The 22,630-nt window shown below is 35.9% G+C and overlaps 1 long non-coding RNA gene across 1 annotated transcript in view; it reads right to left on the minus strand.

Annotated features, from left to right (window-relative positions):
* The window catches only part of LOC124902159 (uncharacterized), a 68,637-nt gene extending 60,465 nt beyond the window's left edge, over positions 1-8,172 (minus strand). The window contains exon 1 of the long non-coding RNA XR_007061497.1: positions 8,079-8,172. This is a non-coding gene — a long non-coding RNA (uncharacterized LOC124902159). The remainder of the gene's footprint in view (positions 1-8,078) is intronic.
* Between the last annotated feature and the right edge of the window lie 14,458 nt (positions 8,173-22,630).

Consider the following 22,630-nt stretch of genomic DNA (forward strand, 5'->3'; position numbering starts at 1 on the left):
CTGAGGTTAGGAGTTCGAGACCAGCCTAGCTAACATGGTGAAACCCCGTCTCTAGTAAAAATACAAAAATAAGGCAGACATGGTGGTGTGCACCTGTAGTCCCAGCTACTCGGGAGGCTGAGGCAGGAGAATTGCTTGAACCCAGGAGGCAGAGGTTGCAGTGAGCCGAGACTGCACCATTGCACTCCAGCCTGGGTAACAGACAGAGACTCATTCTCAAAAAATAAAATAAAATAAAACAAAACTATCAATATTTCTAGTGAAATTCATATCACTCTAATACCTTAAGATATATTATCAAAATCTCCTACTTAATCAAGCCCTGTAATCTCCCATCAGTGAAACTCATACATACGTGGGACGGGGAAAAAAACAAAAAAACACCTTTTCTTATTGCTGGAAACCTAGAGTAGTTTTGAATTAGAAATTCAGAGTTGCTTTGAGTTACTGTTATTCCATGAGAAAAACAGTATTTTATGGATATTTCTAAACTTAAAAAGATAGATCTAACCAAAGATGGCTTCTCCCAGTGATTTTTGATCTTTCTAGGGGCAGTATATAATCCATTGCAGGAAGCTGTGGTGCTATCAGAAGCTGAAACATCAAGAACCCAGATTATTCACATTCCCCTGCCTCCTATCTCCTCTCTCTCTCCTTCCCTCACTGCCCCACTCATTGATCATTTACTATTTCTTTTCACAGTGAATTATGCTTTTATCATGAATAGTATCTAGGTTTATAAGTGTACAGTAATATAAATTCTAAATTCTTCGGTTTAAATGTATTAATTTTCTCTCATACTTTACATCCTAGAATGATTATCTTGGATTATGGTGTTCCTAGACATTCTTGGAGTATTCTTTATCCCAAACTATTTCAAATTTAAAGCTTCAATCTCTAAAAGACTGTTAGTAAAATTAATTTAATATTTTACCTGCTCACCTCTTTGCTACACTGGGTCTTTCCTATCTGTGGATTCTATATCCATGGACTCAAAGGGACACAGATTGAAAATATTTGAGAAAAAAACAATAAAAATAGCAATACAACAATAAAAATAATACAAAAATACAGCATAACAACTATTTACAGAGCATTTACATTGTATTAGGCATGATAAGTAATCTAGAGTTTATTTAAATTATATAGGAGGATGTGTGTGAGTTTTATGTAAATACTATACCATTTTTAATCAGGGACTAGAGCATCTGCAGATTTCGATATCTGAGGGGTCTTGAAACCAATACTTCACAAATACTAAAAGAAGATTGTACTTCTGTATCTATCTGTTTTTTGTACAATTGAAAGATTCAGATTCTTCCCTTTTTATCTCAGTTTATAAGCACCCCCCATAGTTTTTCTTTCATCTAAACAAATGATGGACCATTTAAAACAGAAATTTCATGCCCACATTCTTAGTGTTTAAATCTCTTCATTTATGTTCTACCTTCCATGATGATCACAAGTACTGGATCACTGTACCAATTTTTTTTCTCTTTCTGTATCTTGATATCAGAATGACATTAGAGGAAACCACGTATTTGTGTAGATTATGACACTCTAAACCTCATCTGGTCTATATGAACTAGTTAAACATGATCTTTATCAGTCACCTTTTCCATTTCCCACATAAGTTATTCCAAATGGATACAAAGCACCTCAAGTCCCTCATATTTCCACCGCTACAAATGCAAAGGGTGAATATAATCATATGGGAAATTGTGGTTATTAGTAAGATTCCTTCAATGTCCTGTCTGTATCTCTTTATATAACAAATAAAAAGAAAAGCAGCCGAATTAGAATTTTACTCATTTTCACATCTTTTTCTATAGGCCCACAGGATGAGCTTTTCACCGTTCCCTTTTTAGAGGGGATTTTTCCACCAGTGACTTTGATTTCTATACTTTCATTTCTACCATAACCTGAATTCTGATCTCAAGTATTTTCAACTAATGTTCAGACACGGTGGCTCTGTCATAGTTCTTACAGTCAAGTCTCTTATTTTTCTCTCACAATTTCCACCTCCGAGTAGAAACTACCCTAAATCCTCGCCTTTCATTTTCAGTCAAGTTTCTGAAAAGAATATTCTATGAAATGTTTTTCAAATCTGGCTGCACATTAGAGTCACCTTGGGGAGGTTTTGAGCCACACTGATGTCCTTTTCCCTCCTCAAGAAATTCTGATTCCGTTGGTCTAGGGTACAGTGACAGGCATAATTTTGTTGTTGTTGTGGTTTTCTCTTTTGTTTTTTGTTTGTTTGTTTTTAAACTTCCCATGGGATGGGATTCTTTTTTTTTTTTTTTTTTTTTTTTTTGAGACGGAGTCTCGCTCTGTCGCCCAGGCTGGAGTGCAGTGGCGCGATCTCGGCTCACTGCAAGCTCCACCTCCCGGGTTCACGCCGTTCTCCTGCCTCAGCCTTCTGAGTAGGTGGGACTACAGGCGCCCGCCACTATGCCCGGCTAATTTTTTGTATTTTTTAGTAGAGACGGGTTTCACCGTGTTAGCCAGGACGGTCGCAATCTCCTGACCTCTTGATCCGCCCGCCTCGGCCTCCCAAAGTGCTGGGATTACAGGCGTGAGCCACCGTGCCCGGCCCTTCCCATGTGATTCTTATACGCAGCCGTATTTTGAAACCACTGTTCTACTAACTCAGACAATGGTTTCTCATTCCTCTCTCATGTACTCCAAATACTTTCTACTTCTACTTCTCCCCTAAAACAGTTCTTTTGAAGGGCACTAATATCTCCCTTGATTTCCAAGTCCAGTTAATTATTTTTAGTTTTTGTATTATTTTTTCATACTGAGTCTCAACTTTTCTTTAAAAGCCTTGCTTTCTATGACATCATTCTTTCGAAATCCATTTCTATATTTTTCTCAGTTTTCAGTTCTGGTTCTTTTTATCCTTCCTTCCTCTCAAAGGCCACTGTTTCCCAACCTTCTGCTCTTTGCTCCTTTTTCGTCCTTCTTTGTAAGCACCCTCATGACTCCCTCCTCTTGCAGGGTTCCATTATTACACATTATGTTTCTGTAGCCCGTACAGACTTTTGCTGTATAACATCAGATTCACATTTAAGAACCTACTAATGGCTGGGCGCGGTGGCTCACGCCTGTAATCCCAGCACTTTGGGAGGCTGAGGCGGGTGGATCACGAGGTCAGGAGGTCAAGACCATCCTGGCTAACACGGTGAAACCCCGTCTCTACTAAAAATACAAAAAAAAAAAAAAAAAAAAAATTAGCCGGGCGTGGTAGCGGGCGCCAGTAGTCCCAGCTACTTGGGAGGCTGAGGCAGGAGAATGGCGTGAACCCGGGAGGCGGAGCTTGCAGTGAGCCAAGATAGCGCCACTGCAGTCCAGCCTGGGCGAAAGAGCGAGACTCCGTCTCAAAAAAAAAAAAAAAAAAAGAACCTACTAAGTCCTTCCAGAATGGTGTTCCAGATCCACCTCAAATACCACGTTTCTGTCAAACAGCAGCTTCTCCACCTGAACTATTCTTTCTTTAGTATCATGATTCCCCAGCCCTGACACTCATGAGAATCACTTGAGGAAATTTAAAATTCTGAGACTGGGCTGGGTGCAGTGGTTCAGGCCTGTAATCCCAGCAGTACCTTTGGGAGGCCGAGACGACAGGATCACCTGAGGTCAAGAGTTTGAGACCAGCCTGGCCAGCGTGGTGAAACCCCATCTCTACTAAAAATACAAAATTAAGCCTGGCATGGTGGTGCACGCCTGTAATCCCAGCCACTAGGAAGGCTGAGGCAGGAGAATCACTTGAATCCAGGAGGCAGAGGTTGCAGTGGGCCAAGATTGTGCCACAGCACTCCAGCCTGGGCAACAGAGGAAGAAAGAGACTCTGTCTCATAAAATAAAAATAAAATTCTGAGTCTGACTTTCAGAAATGTTGATGTAATTGATCTGGGGTACCTAGACATTGAGATTTTAAAAATATTTCAGGTGCCCCTAAAAGGTTCAGGCAATCTGAAAGTTAGGAAGCACAAGAATGAATTTTAGTATCAGGGTATTCAAAGGTGGTTTCATATTAGAATCACCAGGAGAGCAATTTTTAAATACTATTGTAGACCCAAACCCATTTCAACTGAATAAGAATCTCTGAGGTTGGATTTCAGGAATTCGTATTTTTTTAAAGTTCCGCAGGTGATGCTTATGTGTAGGCAAGGTTGAAAACCATTGCTTTAGTAGTTTCATCTCAATGAATGGCACTGTTTTCCACACAATTGCTCATCCAGGACTGGGAGTCATGTTAAACCCAGACTTTATCCTCACCTTTCTCTTATTCCACACTCAAATAAAATCCACATCCCATGAATCCTACATTTATAAAATATTCCTTTTAAACATCTTCTTTTGAATGTCTAATGGCCATTTCAAGTTTTAACATACATAAAATTAAGTTTTTGACATTTCTACCCAAAACAGGACTTGCAAAGTCCAAAATATCATTTTGACATTTTTTCCTAAAATAGTACTACAAATAAAAAATCAGTATTGCCAATTTTTTGAAGCAAACTTATTTGAATAATATAGACTTTTTAAAAAGATCTTTGGATTTTGTTTTTCTTTGTTCCTTTAGGAAAGAGTATTAAATAATAATATTTAAGATTATAGTACTTTGAGTATATTTAGATAGAATGATAGAACAAGAAATTTAAAGAACTTCTGTTGTTGGAAGAAAAAAACTTATAAAAAGATTTCATCTCTTTGTCATGAGTTAAAAACAAACATTTTAAATGTCAATAAATTTCCAAAGGAAATTTGGCTTATAGTAAAAAAAAGGAAGAAGTAGTAGTATATTGAGAGTTAGTCTCAGCTCCTTGAACTTGAGATGTTTCTGTCTATGCCCGTTTCTTGTCTTTTTAAAAATAATTTAAATTTAGAGCAATAATCTGTTATATTATCCTCTGTTTTTAATATTGATTCATATAATTTCTTAGTGTGCTGCTTCTTTTGTTCTTTCAAGAAAAATGAAACTACCCAGAGATGGATTTGCAATCTAGGTTTTCACTACCTTTTGTGCCCCTGAGAGCCAGTAAATCCAGTCTGTTTTGATAATATTTTAGCCATGACACAGGCCAGTCATGGCAAGGAAAAAAAAATGAATTCATAAGAAAAAAATCTGTATATTTGTGAAAAAATCAGGATCTATCATATCCCAAGTTTATTTGGTGGCATTAACATATAATAGTCCATTTGCTTACTCCCCATAAATATGTAAAAAGGCAAAGAGAAAGTAAAAAATAAAATTATTCTTCCACTCACACAAGTGGCTGAATAGGCCTAATCAATATTAACTTCATTGTTCCCCCATAATTCTATATGTTTAGCTTTTAAACATCTATCTTTTAAATATGCTATTTTTATTAATTTGAAGTTAATCAACTAAAATAGGTTCATTCCTTTCACTTTACCAGTATTACAAGTGACTGTCTAGGAGCCTGAGTTCTAATGAGGCAGCCATTCCAAACATGTACAGACAAAGCAGTGGTTTCCCTGGCAACGAGAACCATGAAAAAGCTCTTAGAATAGTTATTCCCACCCTTACACACAACTCCTTTTCATTTCAGTAAAGCTTCCTGTCAGAACACATTCATCAATGTAATTTGCCAACAAAGTTTAAGAGATTAAATCCCCCTCCCCACAAGAATGTAAAAATAAAAAAACAAAATAAAACCTACAATCAAAAATCAACAGCTATGCTGAAATTGTAGTTAGGTCATGAGGTAATGCTTCAAAGGAAGTAAAGGACATCCTAAGACTCCTGAATACAGTTAACACCACTTTGAACCTGAGATTAATTTTCATTTGATTTTTATCAGAGGATACAGAAGGTAGATGCATCAGGAGGAGGGGCAGGTGCCTTTAATCATTACCTCTAGCATTATCACTTACAACCTCAAAGCAGCTTTTATTTAATTTAGTAAAAGTTTATAAAAATTTAAATTATTGTATGCATCAAATTAAGATTTAAGATGTCCTTCATAAACATTAACCTTTTGTTGGTGATGTTTACCAAGAAAGGTAAACTCTGAAAACATGATGTCATCGTTTCAATTGGTGGAATTAAGTAAAAGATTTTCAAATGAAGCACTTGAACCTATTTTCTATCTATGCATGCAGTAGAAAAAAGCACACAAAACAGGCAGCATTTTGTGTCATGTGGCATTTCAAACAAGAGGGAAAACACATCTGGAAATAAAAGGTGTTTAGTTGAAAGAATTGACCTTAAATAAAACAATTGCAACACTTGATTTGGGCTTCTTACTGGAAATCAAATTCTTTGAGTTTAAAATACACCTACTAAATGTAATACAAAACCAAAATAACACACTTTCAGCATTTCTCAAAATGTTAGCACCCAGCAAATGCAGAGTTTACAGTTCTAGTGATTTTCCCTGTTCTTTTCATGGAATGCATATCTAACCCGTTTTTCAGCCAGCATGCTACAGCAAAGGAAGATTCATGTTGTCCAGGGCTATTTCTTTAAAACAGTATGGAAATTACTTTTACCATAAATTAGGTTGTGCTTTAATGCTGAGAAAGGTCTATTTTGCCTTCATTTTGACCCATGACATACTTAGCCTTACAACAGCATAATGAGCATAATGAGGTCAAAACTAACACTGCAAAATAAAACACACCCCCCCACACAAACACACATTATTTCTCAAGGAAGATGAAAAAAAAAAAAGGTCACATTGATTTTCTTTTTTTTAAAGCGGGACATTCTCACTACTTTTTTCACCTGAAGATTGAAAAGGAAACTCATTTCAGTTTGTAACATTGCACTGACTGTTCCAGACACAAAATGAATCAAGTCTCCTGTTGGATTATGTGGTTAGCATTTCTTCTCTTCTCTGGTGAGATAATTCGTTACTTAGGACAGCTGTGGTATAAAAACTCAAACATTGTCTTTTGCAGAATGGATTTGAAAAGTGGGCCCCCATTCTATTTTTGTTAGAAAATAATAAAATCACAAATTTTGTCATGTATCAAAAATGAAAAGTGAAATATAAATGTGAAAGGTCTGATATTTACTTAATGAATATTTACCAAATACTTAGCATTTGCATATTAAGTACAAGCCTCAGGGAAAAAAATGTAGCCGTGTTTAAATCTCAACTTTATTTCTTCCCCTTGCTTTATTTTTTGAAAAATAAGAAATATTCACATTAAAGAAAAAAGAGAACATATTTAAAAATATTTTCATCTATATTCTAGTCTAACCAGAGTATCTATAATTTATATTAGTTACCAAATGTATTAGACAAATTAAAACACAAGAGTTTTTATTATTATAATGCTTTTTTAAAATATGGACATTCACAATTTTATGCTTACAAGAGAATATATAATTCAAGTACTCCCATGAAATAAAGTACCAGTTCTCTACAATCAAACCTACAGTGCTAAACGTCAGCTGAAAATTACTTATAAAACTTTCAATTAAACTTTTACTAGTTTAGGTATTCTCTTCATAGTTGAGAAATATAATGCAAATAAAAGTTGAGTATGCCTCCCTGCCTCCAACTAGGACATAAAGTTGATCTTCCATGTCATGTTTCTTAAAAGTAACTCTAAAATAAGTTTCTTTCAAACCTTCTAAATTATTCTCTTTCCCTAATGGCTTGTTGTATTCTTCCCCAGCAGAAATTACTAAAATAGCCCTATTGCACTTAATCTAATTAGGGATTTTTGGAGAAATGGTGGTTACATAGTTCTCATTAACTGACTAAAAAACTGTACCATCTCCAGAGGTATAGATATTAAAAAGCGGGGGAGGGGGATGATTCCTTTTAAAGCTCCAGAAATGAATGTAAGTGTTCATATTCTGGTACATTAACAGTTTGTTCCAGTACATTGATATTTTATGTGGAAGCCCTACTCTGCAATTAATATGCCTGATGCAAATTGAAAAACCCATAATCCATCCTTCTCTGTTGGAATGTAAGAGTATATTATTATTGAGAAGCTACAGGATACCAGAACCATTTTTTAAACTTGACTGCTCACTACCTTAAATCTGCATATAAAACAGTTTTGCATTCAGACGAGGTAATACATACCGGAATATATTGTGGCGCATATTAAAAAAAGTGCTCCAAATAAAAACGACCTGTGGGCTTCCTTTGTAGAAGAAATTTATGCAGTTCCAGGCATTAGGGATTAATGACAGCTAAGAGCAAAAGAGAAGGAATGAGCATTAAAACATTGTGCCTAACTTTCCTGACTACCCCAAGGCTAAAAGACAAAGTGAATTGTCAAATCTCCTTAAAGGTAAGGACTATGAATTTATATTAAGTAAATATGATATTTGGGGATTGCATCTGGTTCTGTCACATTAGTATTCAGTATATTTCTTATAGCTTTAAAGGAGAAAAGACAACCTTAATGGAGGTATGAGAGAAGAAAGATTTTAAAAATCCTTTGTTTCTAACAGCTTAGAGAGCCTCTTTCCTTTGTCTTGTTTCCAAAATTATGCATACAATTCTTCACAGGACATAAAATGCTATTGTCTGCTATGACTGACAAAATCCAAGATTTTAATGAAAGTTATACTGTAACTATTTTAAAGGGAAGGGGAATCACACATCCCTAAGAGATTCAAATGTAATATATTCTCAAAAATGGAAAGATCCCAGGGATACAGATTTCTTTCTTTCACGGATTTCTCCTAAGCCTGTTCAATTCATTTGATCATCACCGCCTGTGATCTGGGTTTTATTAACATTTCAGCATTTGATTGGACCCTTCTTACCTCTCTGTCTATCCATCACTTAAGACATTTAGTGCTGCCTACTGGCAGTTATCTGTGTAATTGTTTTATTTCACTCACTAAGTGATAAGATCCTTGAGGCAAGACGCTATGCGATATGGCCTGTATCTTCCACAATAAGTAATCACATTGATTCAAAAGATTCCCTCACAATACATTTTTATTGCAAAAATGATTTTGTATTTATCCATTTTGGAAAAGAAATTTTATCTCTTGAGCCCCTAAAAATGGAATTGTACACATTAAGACCCTTACACATATCACATAATAATCTTCAGGGTCAAACATTATAGTTTTCACCTGCTGCTATTCCTTTGCAGTAGACTAGAATAGAGAATTATATAAAACTTCTATGACTGTCAAAAAAATGATATATTTTTTGAAATCATGTAAAATCAACCTTCTTTATTTTACAGATATAGAAATTTAGATCTGTAAGGACCATCAGTGTGGTGAAGGTCACATGGTAAGTTAATTACAGAATCAAATTTTTCCCTTTCATTTCAATCTGTTTTTAAGTTTTACATGATTCCACTTTCAGGAAAAAGCAATTAAAATACAGACTGGCTTTGGTAAGAGTGATATATATTTTTATGTTTCAGACCAGCATGTTGTTTCATGCTGATGTTAAAAGATAATGGTTGATATCAGATAAATACCCACACATACACACAAACACAAACTAACTTGGGGTCCAATAAAATAAGACTGGGTGGTTCACATATTTTTCCATTAGTGCAAATATTTTACAGAGATAATTTTCTTTGATAAAATCTGTGTTCTTAAAACTGATTAACACATAGTCCTTACTAGAAACTCTTTACAAAAAAAAAAAAACAAAAAAACAAAAAAACAAAAATGAGAGTGCAAAAATTGAGAGAATAAGTCAAAGGAAAAAGAGAAGTTCTCCCATAACTTAAATTCATTGTACCTGTACATTAATCAAAGAACAAAATTGACTGTCATGTGATTTGACTCATGCTAAAATGTCCCTCACAATGAAAATAATCTCTTTTATTGGCCCCTCACAGTGTTTAAAATTTTTCACCATTTAAAAAAAAATTGACTTAAAATACTTCATCTTCTGACATTTTTGTTCACAAAAATAGTAAAAGTAAAGGAAAAAGGTAGATAATATACCAACTTTGCAGGGTATTGCAGGAAGTTCAGAGAGGGAAAGAAAGAGGAACTATAAATAGTTATCATAAATTACAGCTAAATATTTTAGTTTAGCATAAAGAGGGTATGATGAATGTAAACAACATCACATATAGTTCAAAGTAGAGTTGTGGAATTAGTTTTCCATGACAATGTTTAAGAATTGTACAGCTTTGCTGTTATCTAGTGATGTGTCCCCACCCAAATCTCACCATGAATTCCCATGTGTTGTCAGAGGGACCTGGTGGGAGGTAATTAAATCATGGGAGCAGGTCTTTCCCATGCTGTTCTCATGATAGTAAGTTTCATGTGATCTGATAATTTTATAAAGGGAAGTTTCCCTGCACAAGCTCTCTTCTCTTGTCTGCTGCCATGTGAGACATGCCTCTCACCTTCTGCAATGATTGTGAGGCCTCCCCAGCCACATGGAACTGTAAGATCATTAAACCTCTTTCTTTTGTAAATTGCCCAGTCTTGGGTATGTCTTTATCAGCAGTATAAAAACAGACTAATACAGTAAATTGGTACCAGGAGTGGGGTGGGACTCTGTTCTAAAGATAACTGAAAATGTGGAAGCAACTTTGGAACTGGATAACAGGCAGAGGTTGGAACAGTCTGGAGGGCTCAGAAAACAACAGAAAAATGTGGGAAAGTCTGGAACTCCCTAGAGACTTGTTCTATGGCTTGACCAAAATGCTGATAGTGATATGGACAATGCAATCCAGTCTGAGGTGGTCTCAGATGGACATGAGGAACTTGTTGGAAACTGGAACAAAGGTGACTCTTGTTATGTTTTAGCAAAGAGACTTGTGGCATTTTGCCCCTGCCCTAGAGATTTGTGGAACTTTGAACTTGAGAGAGATGATTTACGGTATCTGGCAAAAGAAATGTCTAAGCAGCAAAGCATTCAAGAGGTGACTTTTTAGCCGGACATGGTAGTGTGCGCCTGTAGTCTCAGCTACTCGGGAGGCCGAGACAGGAGAATTGCTTGAACCCAGGAGGGGGAGGTTGCAGTGAGCTGAGATCATACCCCACTGCACTCCAGCCTGGGTGACAGAGTGAGACTCCCCAAAAAAAAAAGATGTGACTTGTGTGGTGTTAAAAGCATTCAGTTTTAAAAGGAAAACAGATCATAAAAGTCTAGAAAATTTGCAGCCTGACAATGTGATAGAAAAGAAAATCCCATTTTCTGAGGAGAAATTCAAGCTGGCTGCAGAAATTTGCATAAGTAGCAAGGAGCTGAAAGTTAGTCACCAAGACAATGGGGAAAATGTCTACAGGGCATGTCAGAGACCTTTGTGGCAGTCCTTCTCCTCACAGGCTGGGAGGTTTTAGAGGAAAAAATGGTTTCATGAGGCAGGCTCAGGTTCCCTCTATGTGCAGTCTAGGGACCTGGTGCCCTGCATCCCAGCTGCTCTAGCCATGACTAAAAGGGGCCAAGGTACAGCTCAGGCCGTGGCTTCCAAGGGTGCTAGCCCCAAGCCTTGGCAGGTTTTACATGTTGAGCCTGAGGGTACACAGAAGTCACGAATTGATTTGGCAACCTCTGCCTAGATTTCAGAGAACGTATGGAAGCACCTGGATGTTCAAGCAGAAGTTTGCTGCAGGGGCAGGGTGCTCATGGAGAACCCCTGCTAGGATATTGTGAAATGGAAATGTGGGGTGGGCACCCCCACACAGAGTCCCCACTGGGGCACTGCCTAGTGGAGATGTGAAAAGAATGCCATCATCCTTCAGACCCCAGAATGGTAGCTGTACCGACAGCTTGCACTGTGCACCTGAAAAAGCTGCAGACACTCAATGCCAGCCCATGAAAGTGGCTGGGAGGGAGGCTGTGTCCTGCAAAGACAGAGGTGCAGAGCTGTTCAAGACCATGGGAACCTCCTCTTGGATCAGTGTGACCCAAATATGAGACATGGGGTCAAAAGAGATCATTTTGGACCTTTAATATTTGACTGCCCTGCTGGATTTCAGAATTTCATGGGGCCTTTGTTTTAGCCATTGTTTTTTCCATTTGCAACAGCTGTACTTACCCAATGCCTGTACCCCCATTGTATGTAGGAAGTAACTAATTTTCTTCTTATTTTACTGACTCATAGGTGGAAGGGACTTGCCTTGTCTCTGATAAAACTTTGGACTGTGAACTTTTGAGTTAATGCTGAAATGAGTTAACACTTTGGAGGACTGTTTAAAAGGCATGATTGGTTTTGAAGTGTGTGGACATAAGATGTGGGAGGGGCCAGGGTGAAATGATAAGGTTTGGCTGTGTCCCCACCCAAATCTCATCTTGAATTGCCATGTGTTGTTTGAGGGACCCAGTGAGAGGTACTGAATCATGGGGGCAGGTCTTTCCCATGCTGCTCTGGTGACAGTGAATAAGTCTCATGAGACCTGATGGTTTTATAAAGGGAACTTTCCCTGAACAAGCTCTCTTCTCTTATTTGCTGCCATGTGAGATTTGCCTTTAAACTTCCAACACAATTGTGAGGCATCCCCAGCCACCTGGAACTGTAAGTCCATTAAACCTTCTTCTTTTGTAAATTGCCTAGTCTTGGGTATATTTTTATCAGCAGCGTGAAAACAGACTAATACAGCTAGGGTGGTTAAGATAGAGATATGGGCAAGATAGAAATCCTTAACAATAAATACATACATTACATTGTTTCTTCCATCTAGGATGGTTCTTTTAACCTACAGGTAATCACTTTGTGTGTTTCATTAAGGTATTTTCAAAATCTCTTTGAACAGCATAACTTTTAAAAGCAAGTACTAATACTTTATAAAAGTATTTCATAAAGTAGTTTACAGTAACTGAGGTTGATTTGTGCCGTTAAGGAAAAAACTTTTACTTTTTTATTACTAAAAATGTATGTAAATCTCACTGGCACTGAATGCATTTTTCAAACAAATAAAGAGGCTTGAAATGGTGAACAGCTATTCTTTTCTGCCTACTAGGGATGAGAAAGTACAGGCTGTTTTCAAATTAAAACCGGAAGCATATACAATGAGACATTATGTGGACTGTTGTGACTATTAGGGTTGTTAGATCATGTGCTGTGTTACTGTGGGATGTTTGGGAGGATCCTTTGAATATATTTTATTATCAAAAATTTTATTTTTCTGATGTATATAATCAGAAACTCTTGAAGTAGACAACTATATAAATATTAAATGCTCACTTCCAATATAATATTCATTTGATTAATAAAACTGGAGACAATTTATCTTAGTTGGTGGATTATACTATACTCATCCTTGGTAGATTATACCATAAAACTGAAGTATTTCCACCTCAGGAAATATTCCCACCAGTTAAGTTGATGTGCATTGCCAGAGTATAGTTACTTTGTTGAATTTCCACATGTAAACTCTTTTATTGAATTAGATATGTAGAAAAGTCATTGTTCTATGCTTCATCACCAGTTACAAGTGGCATTTGTTCTTCTCTATATAAACTTAACATAGAAAAATTATAACCTACCTATCTGTATATTCTACACAATATAACTGCTAATTTTATCATCGGTGAGATGGTACAAATAATTCAACTGTCAAATTAGACTCATATGAAATAGAAATGTTTAATCATTTTTAGGATATAAAAGTCTAGTGTCTAGAGGCTCAGGGAGAACTAAGGTGAGAGGTTGAGTATTCACTGGATCTCTTCCTACTACGATAAATAAGTTCTGACACATTACTTACACAAAAGATAAAAAGTATCAGTAATAAACACTTCCATTTTATAATCAAATAGGCACAAAGGATGCATAATATTTTCCAGGAAGCGATGCCCCATATATCCATAGATTCTAGGGTTGCTTTTTTTTTTTTTTTAACACAGGAGATGCTAAACAACCAAGTACATGCTGCTAAAAACACCTTGCAGATAAAAACCCTCCCACTAGCTAACGTAACTAGCTTGTTTGCAAAAAGTCTGCTTTTAGCATGTTTACAAATGTATTAGTCTGCTAGGGCTATTATAACAAAGTATCATCAACCAGGTGGCTTAAGAGTGGGAATTTATTTTCTCACAGTTCTGGAGGCTAGAAGTCTAAGATCAAGGTGTCAACAGGTTTGGTTCCTCCTGCGGCCTCTCTCCTTTGCTTGCACATGGCTGCCTCCTTACTGTGTTCTCACATTGCCTTTTCTTGATGCAAGCACTTCACTGGTGTCTTTTCCTCTTCTTAAAAGGACACCAGTCCTATTGGACTAGGGTCCCATTCATATGACCTTAATTAACCTTAATTACCTCTTTAAAGGCCATATCTCCAAATGCAGTCACTTTGCGGGTTAGAGACTCAACATATAGGTTATAGGGGAACTTGATTTATTTCATAACAACAGGGATATGACTTTTATTTCCTTGTCCTCTATATAAAGGAAGAGCCTAGATAGCAGATCTGCTTCCCATCCTTTTTTTCTCAACGAAGAAGGATTTATGTTTTCCAAAAACAAAAAAAAACAAAAAACTCTTGAATTTTATCTCACGAGAGCAAATAAATTCAATCATTCAGCCCCTAAATGCCTCAAAAGTCTGTAGAATAGAGCAGCTTCAAAAGAACAAGTGGGAAGTAATGAGGAAGAGTAAGAGACAAAGCTTCACAAAGGCTGTGTTAAAGAAGAACTCTTACTCCTAGTGAATTCTGAGATGATATCACAGACTCAATTTATATGCAAACCTGAATTTAAGTGTACTAAAAATATAAAATTCACTTTGGAGCTAATGAAGTAACTTTTCATCCAAAAAAAATATATTACTTTAAGTATTTCTCCTGTAGTAAAAGTATTTACCGTTTTATTCATAGCTTTGGATTGAGCAAATATATCTTAAGATATATGTGTCATAATATAGACTATAACATAAAATGCGGGTGAACACAGTAACTCACTTTTACATCATAATCAAGTCATTAGCTTCTCATTTCCGCAATTAAAAGAAATATGTCTTATGAGCTATTCAAAATCTTAGGTTAGAGAAAGTTACCAAGTAATTAGCTGCCATTCTGGACACACAGAAATTAGAGTAACAAAACCAGTTCACACATAGATACATTCTTTGAGAGACAGAATAGTGGATTAACCACAAATATAAAGTAGAGAATGCAGAGAATGCCCCTGATGGAATTCTCAAGAAAACAATTTCTAGTGCACACAGTTGGCTGCCTAACCCTCTTACATTTTCCTTATCTTTCTTTTTTTTAACAGAATCCATATTTTATTCAGATATCCATTCTATCTGTAAATCGTCCCTGTGTTTAGGGAAAGATCAGCTTTATCCATAGAAGGGATATCTGAATAAAATAAACAGAACTCCCCAGTTCCAGAGTTGGGCCTCAGTTACTCTTAGACAATGTGGGTAATTATTTTCCCATTGCTCCTGGTTGTTTCAAAAAATCAGACATACATCAGTCAGTACCTGTGTTTGTAAATTGTTATCTGGGAATAACCAGACAGTGCAAATAGTTTCTATTATAATATAAAGAAGGAAAGACTTCTATTCATAAAAGGGGAAAACTCTTTCCCTTGTATTCACTGGATTTGAATGAGAAATCCTGTACTGCTCATTGCTCTTACCAGCCATTGCATACTACAAGGGGAAGCAGAAGTAGGATGAAGCTAATAGGTGAACTGCAGGGTGGAGAGGCAGAAAGAATGTGCTTCCTTGCTGAGATCTCTGAACCATAAATCAAGCAGAGCTGAAAACTTTTCTACCTATCTACTTCAAATATATAATATACAATCTCTTCATTGTTTAGGTGGGCTTTATTTGCAGGGTATAAGCTGTAAGCAAGTACTAATACTTTATAAAAGTATTTCATAAAGTAGTTTACAGTAACTCAGGTTGATTTGTGCCGTTAAGGAAAAAACTTTTACTTTTTTATTACTAAAAATGTATGTAAATCTCACTGGCACTGAATGCATTTTTCAAACAAAGAGGCTTGAAATGGTGAACAGCTATTCTTTTCTGCCTACTAGGGATGAGAAAGTACAGGCTGTTTTCAAATTAAAACCAGAAGGGCCAAAGATGTAAATAAATGTGACTGATAGAGGACAGCATAAAAGAAAAAATAAGTTTTTTTTTTTAAAGCAGGACTGTGAGAATTTTAATAGAGTCTAGATTGGTGAATAAAAAAGAATAGAATATCCCAAAAAGTGTATATTAATGCTCAAACCAGTAAAGAAATATGAGTTACCACTTTGTGGAAAAATAACATGGGTAGATTCATATGCCCCTACTGCGTGTAAGATTATTTTTAAAGAGATTAAAGCATTAAATGTAGAAAATAAAACCACAAAGGCTCTAGAAGTAAACATAGGACATTTCCTTTATAACCTTTAAGTGGTTAAGGTATAAGTAATTATAACTAAAAGTCTAGAAGCTAAAAGATTAAAAAATGGGTATATGTGAATACAGTAACAATAACTTCATGAAAAAATATTGTAAACATTCACTTCTCAGTCTTTTGGCTAAGATCAAGTGAAATATTGTAAACAAATTGAAACTACAAGTAATCAAGTAAAGAATAATATTTACTCTTCATATAGTATAATTTCTTTACTATATGAAGTGTTTCTAGAAATTTATGAGCAAAAGACTCAAACTCAAAAGAAATATAGGCAAGTATATAAACAATTGATAGAAAGTAAATGCAGGCCGTCGCGGTGGCTCACACCTGTAATCCCAGCACTTTGGGAGGCTGAGGCGGTTTGATCACGAGGTCAGGAGATCGAGACCATCCTGGCTAAAGCGGTGAAACCCCGTCTCTACTAAAAAAAATTAACCGGGTTTTGTGGCGGGTGCCTGTAGTCCCAGCTACTCGGGAGGCTGAGGCAGGAGAATGGCGTGAACCCGGGAGGTGGAGCTTGCAGTGAGCCCAGAATGGCGTGAACCCAGAAGGTGGAGCTTGAAGTGAGCCAAGATTGTGCCACTGCACTCCAGCCTGGGCAACAGAGTGAGACTCCATCTCAAAAAAATAAATAAATAAAATAAAAATAAAAAATTAAGTAAATGCAAATGACTTTTAAGTATACAAAAGTGTATTCAAGTTCAACCATAATAAAACTACAAATAAAACTCTATCAATATTCTTTCACTTATTAGAATAGCATATTTAATAACACAAACTTCAGCAAACATATAGAGAAGTAGGTACTACCATTCATGCATCCACATGATTGGAGTATAAATTAGTACATATTTATCAAATAAAAAATGCATGTGTGCATGTCCAATCAATTATACTCTAGGCAGATTATCCTAAATAACTACTTACATATAAAACGACATATATGACTATATTCATTGCAGAAAAATATATAAGAACAAGATTCTGAAAACAACAAAGTTTTTAATATAGTACGACTTAATGATGACACATCCCTTTGATGTTCTGCAATAGTAAAAATACTGAAAATTTTCTATATGTATTAACGTGGAAAGTTTTTCAAGATAAATTGCTAACGAATAAAGCAATGTGCCAAAAGGATACGTGTTATGCTGTCCAAATAAAGGAAATCAATAATGTATTTTGTTATCTCTTATATATACATAAAATACTTAAGACACCAAGAAGCTGTTGTTAAGAGGTAAGAACTGGGCAGACAATAGAAAAGGATAGAATGTGGAATTTTCCAATTCTGTATCATGTAAATGCATCACCTGTTCAAAAAATAATGTTCACGGTTCCCTACATTTTCTGAGAAATATCCAACTCTTTAGCCAGTAATTTACAGCCTTTCAAAATTGTTCCGGTAATATTTCATTTTTCTTGCTCATGCTAAACCACCTTCTCATCAAACTATTCAGTACCTTAAATTCTACTAAAATTTCTTTGTGGCATCACACACATACCCATTTCGATACACTCTTTTTCTATTATCACCTGTAGAAACCTACATAACTTCACAGCACATCTCAGATGCCAGCTCTTTCAAGATCTTCTCTGATAAACCCAAGGAGAAATAATTTTTCCCTCATCAAAATCCTTAGTGCACTTGGGATTACATCACATATTCTTCTTATAGGAGTGGTCTTTCTATTAGCATTGAAGGTCCTTAAGAGCAAGATTGCTTTTTAAACATCTGTATTTCTTAAAGTATTCTGTGCAAAATACTATGCTAAACCCTGTATTTACTCAAACATTTTAGCTTAATGAATTAAAATATGACTCAAAATGGAATGGTAAGTTGTTCCATCTTAATATATTAAGAAATATCACCAACAGCAACTACATCAAGAAACCAAGAAGACAAACTTTAATGGAATATTTGATGGACGCTGAAGTGAGTCTATTAACAAAAACAAACAAAAAGAATCAGGGACTACATTTGCCATTAATTCTAAAATTGTTGCCATTTAGGGCCTCACTGAAATATAGGGCCAAATAGCTGTTGCTCTACCAGTAGCAGTTCTCATATTAAATGATGAATTTGCAAGGCATGCCCCCTAGGATTTCATCTGTTCTCCTTGAGAAAATGTCAATAACTTCTATAAAGAAAGAGTGGCCCTAGTTAGAGTTTTTTAGTTCCAAGTCTATGTTTAACCCATTAAGAAATAATTCATACTTAGTATATATTTTTAAAAAACACTAAAATATAGTCTAAATTTTCCTGATTTTTTAAACTATGTAGGAATTATATAATAAAATGTGATTACCTAAGAGAATGTTCTGGTTTTTAGGACATATACAATAAAGTACTTAGGATTAAAATAATAAGATGGCTCCAATTTGCAAATAGTATAGAAAGGAGAGAGAGAGAGAGAGCACACTACCAATATATTCAAATGTAATTTAGAAAAAAATCTGGATAAAAGGGTATATAGGACTTTCTTCTACTATTCTTGCAACTTCTTTCTAAGTTTAAAATTATGTCAAAATGGCTGGGCGTGGTGACTCACACCTGTAATCCCACCACTTCGGGAGGCTGAGGCAGGTGGATCACCTGAGGTCAGGAGTTCGAGACCAGCCTGGCTAACATGGTGAAACCCTGTTTCTACTAAAAATACAAAAAATTAGCCTGAATTGATGGTGAGCACCTGTAATTCCAGCTACTCGGGAAGCTGAGGCAGGAGAATCGCTTGAACCCAGGTGGCGGAGGTTGCAGTGAGCCAAGATTGTGCCACTGCACTCCAGCTTGGGCAACAAGAGCAAAACTCCATCTCAAAAAAACATAGTATATAAAAATAAGAGTTACACACACACACACACGTTAATGTCCAACCAGGCAAACTGAGTCTATGTTAAAATTCGGTCATCACCTGTAAACTAGTTCAACCATTGTGGAAGTCAGTGTGGCGATTCCTCAAGGATCTAGAACTAGAAATACCACTTGACCCAGCCATCCCATTACTGGGTATATACCCAAAGGATTATAAATCATGCTGCTATACAGACACATGCACATGTATGTTTATTGCAGCACTATTCACAATAGCAAAGACTTGGAACCAACCCAAATGTCCAACAATGATAGACTGGATTAAGAAAATTTGGCACATAGACACCATGGAATACTATGCAGCCATAAAAAAGGATGAGTTCATGTCCTTTGTAGGGACATGGATGAAATTGGAAATCATCATTCTCAGTAAACTATTGCAAGAACAAAAAACCAAACACCGCATATTCTCACTCATAGGTGGGAACTGAACAATGAGAACACATGGACACAGGAAGGGGAACATCACACTCTGGGGACTGTTGTGGGGTGGGGGGAGGGGGGAGGGATAGCATTAGGAGATATACCTAATGCTAAATGACAAGTTAATGGGTGCAGCACACCAGCATGGTACATGTATACATATGTAACTAACCTGCACATTGTGCACATGTACCCTAACACTTAAAGTATAATTTAAAAAAAAATCTCAGAAACTAGAGTCAGAAGAATAGCCAAAAAAAAAAAAAAAAAAAAATTCAGTCATCACTATCTTTAATGGATGGAATGGAGTTTAGAGTAAATAGTGCAGGGAAGGTAGGGTTATGAGGTTTTAGTGTTCTCTTTCTTAATCTGCATTCTGATTACCAGATTATTGTTCACTTGATAAAATTTTATCAAATTGTGCCCTGATAATCAGAATGTAAGAATGTCACATTTTCTGTAAGATATCCTTCAATGAATTTTAACAAAAATATTATGAAAAAATAAATTTCTCTTTTTTTTACTTGATTACCCTATTATAGAATGCATATGTTTAGTGACTTTGTATAGTGATAAGAAAATACCTCAAACAGGATTTTAAAAAACGTAAAAAGATGTAAATGACACTTTTCTTTATTTTTTATTTTATTTATTTATTTATTTATGATAGGATCTCACTCTGTCACCCAGGCTATAGTGCAGTAGCATGATCACAGCTAATTTCAGCCTTGACCTTCTGGTCTCAAGTAATCCTCTCAAGGCAGCCTCCCATTTAGCTGGGACCACAGACACGTGCCACTATGTCTGGCTAATTTTTTGAATTTTTGGTAGACAGGGTCTCACTTTGTTGCCTAAGGTGGTCTTGAATTGCTGGGCTCAAGCAATCCTTCAGCCTCAGCCTCCCAAAGTGCTGGGATTATACGCATGAGCCACCAGGCCCAGCCACTTTTCTTTAATTGAAGTGCTATAGCCAATACCAAAGTTGATGGCCTCCCATCCAACTTACAATTTACAGTATAGCACCTATACATTTAGTCTGCTGCTCTAAATGTCTCCCAGTAATCAAACTGTGTGTGAAATTCATAGTATGGGGCATACTATTTTTTAATCATTCTAACTACTGTAATTATGTCCTTATCTGTATTCATGTCCTGAAAGTTTATGCAAGTAAAATTAGCATAATGACATTTAAGTTATTTCATGTTTATGTGCATGCATTTACTGGACATTGCTATTTTTTACAACCTTACATTTTAAATTTCTACTTTTCATCCAAGAACTCTCTCAAAATGTTTGACTTACCTTCTTTTGTTTTTACATTTTTCTGTTCTTCAATTTTTTCATTCATCCAACATATACTTAAATATCTAAGTTTTAAGGTAACTATATGTGCCGGTATATTTGCCTATAAATCATCATGCACATAGAAAACACTTTTAGAAGCTTCCTCTTTCATACCAAATTCAAACCATAAGGTCTAAAGGAAGTACTTAGAGGTTGTGGTATACACACATTTATTTTACTGAAAACTGAAAATAACGCAGACAAAAGGATGAAACTTATTGGGAATTGGTATGATATATAAGATATCTTTCACTCAGAAAAAAAGTAAGAATATACCATACTAAGTTCATTTTCTTCAAAAATTTGGATCCTTTCATTTTCTAGGGCTGCATATCCTTTTTCCTAAAGAGGAACTCCACATTTTATAAGTTGCAGTTCCCATAAAGACTAGATCTGTCCCTAGTTTTGATGAACTATACCTGGGAAACCAGAGGTATGGCAATCCTAAAACGAATATAGGAAAAGAGTTCCAATAGACACAGATTCCCTTCCCCTGGTGAAAATGAAGATAGAAACAACAACAAAAAAAGATATTATGTAATATAAAATAAAACAAATGTTCATTATATTTGAACCTGTATTCTCTTTTCTAAACTGAGTTTCAGAGGGCAAGGAACATGTCTGTCAGATACTACTTTCTATCCAGTATACATAGTAGCTGCACAATAAACATTTATGACATGAATTAATTAGCGTTTCTCTGGCCTGCCAATGCCCTGTATATAGAAAATCTGTAAATTTCCACTAACTTTAAAAATACTCATATTTTCCTGGAACAGAAAGTAAAGATTACATGGCAGACAAAATTGCATCTGTCTACTAATGATTACCATGTAATCTTTACTAGATGGCCTTGTGGTTCTCAGTAAGAGTCAAGTGACAAAGGAGACAGAGGGAGCAAAGCTGAAAGACTTTAATAAACTCTCTTTGCAAATAATGTTTTTATTCAATGTCAACTTCTTATTAAAACATCCCAGGTCTTGACTCTTCTGAGTCTTTTATATACTTTTTTTCTACAACAAAGGAGAAAGCAATCACTATTGATTTGGGCACATATCAAAAAATGAAAAAAGAGAAATAAATAAATAGTTGCATTTCAATTGTGGCCACCATACAGCTAATAGTTTATCATAACTCTTAAAGGTTGGTCCCTAGGCTCTTATACAGGTTCACCCTTTGCTGACCTCTTACAATCTTTCTGTCAGCATTTTGAATGCTACTGATTCTGTGAGTAATATTTTCAACGGAGGTCAGACAGGCCAGTAAGTCCAGCGTGCCCTCTCACTTACGAATTCCCCTTCTTTTGTGGCTTTTCACCATGGGTTCACATGTCATGGACTCTACATCGCAAACTGCAGTAAACAAATTTCAATCGTGAGTGAAAGGAGAAAAAAGCAAATCCTACTTGACTATTGCTAGCTTGTTTACACCATAGGGCTAGAGTAAGCTGAAATCGACAGAGTATAAAGAAAAGAAGGTCCTCTTGAAGTAACACACACACTCATTTTCAGACTCATAGTTTAAATGCAGTCTTTTATTTGTCACTACCACTGCATTGTTATCAGAGGATTTATATGCCTAGAGCTGCCAGAAGTGTCACCAGCTCTGACAATGCCCATTTTGGAGCTTTTTCCGATGGCTTATTTTATTTATAGTCTTGATGAAACTGGGGCAGTCACAAAACTGATTAGCGATCTG

This window comes from Homo sapiens, chromosome 9 (assembly GCF_000001405.40).
Source record: "Homo sapiens chromosome 9, GRCh38.p14 Primary Assembly".
Classification (NCBI taxonomy): domain Eukaryota; kingdom Metazoa; phylum Chordata; class Mammalia; order Primates; family Hominidae; genus Homo; species Homo sapiens.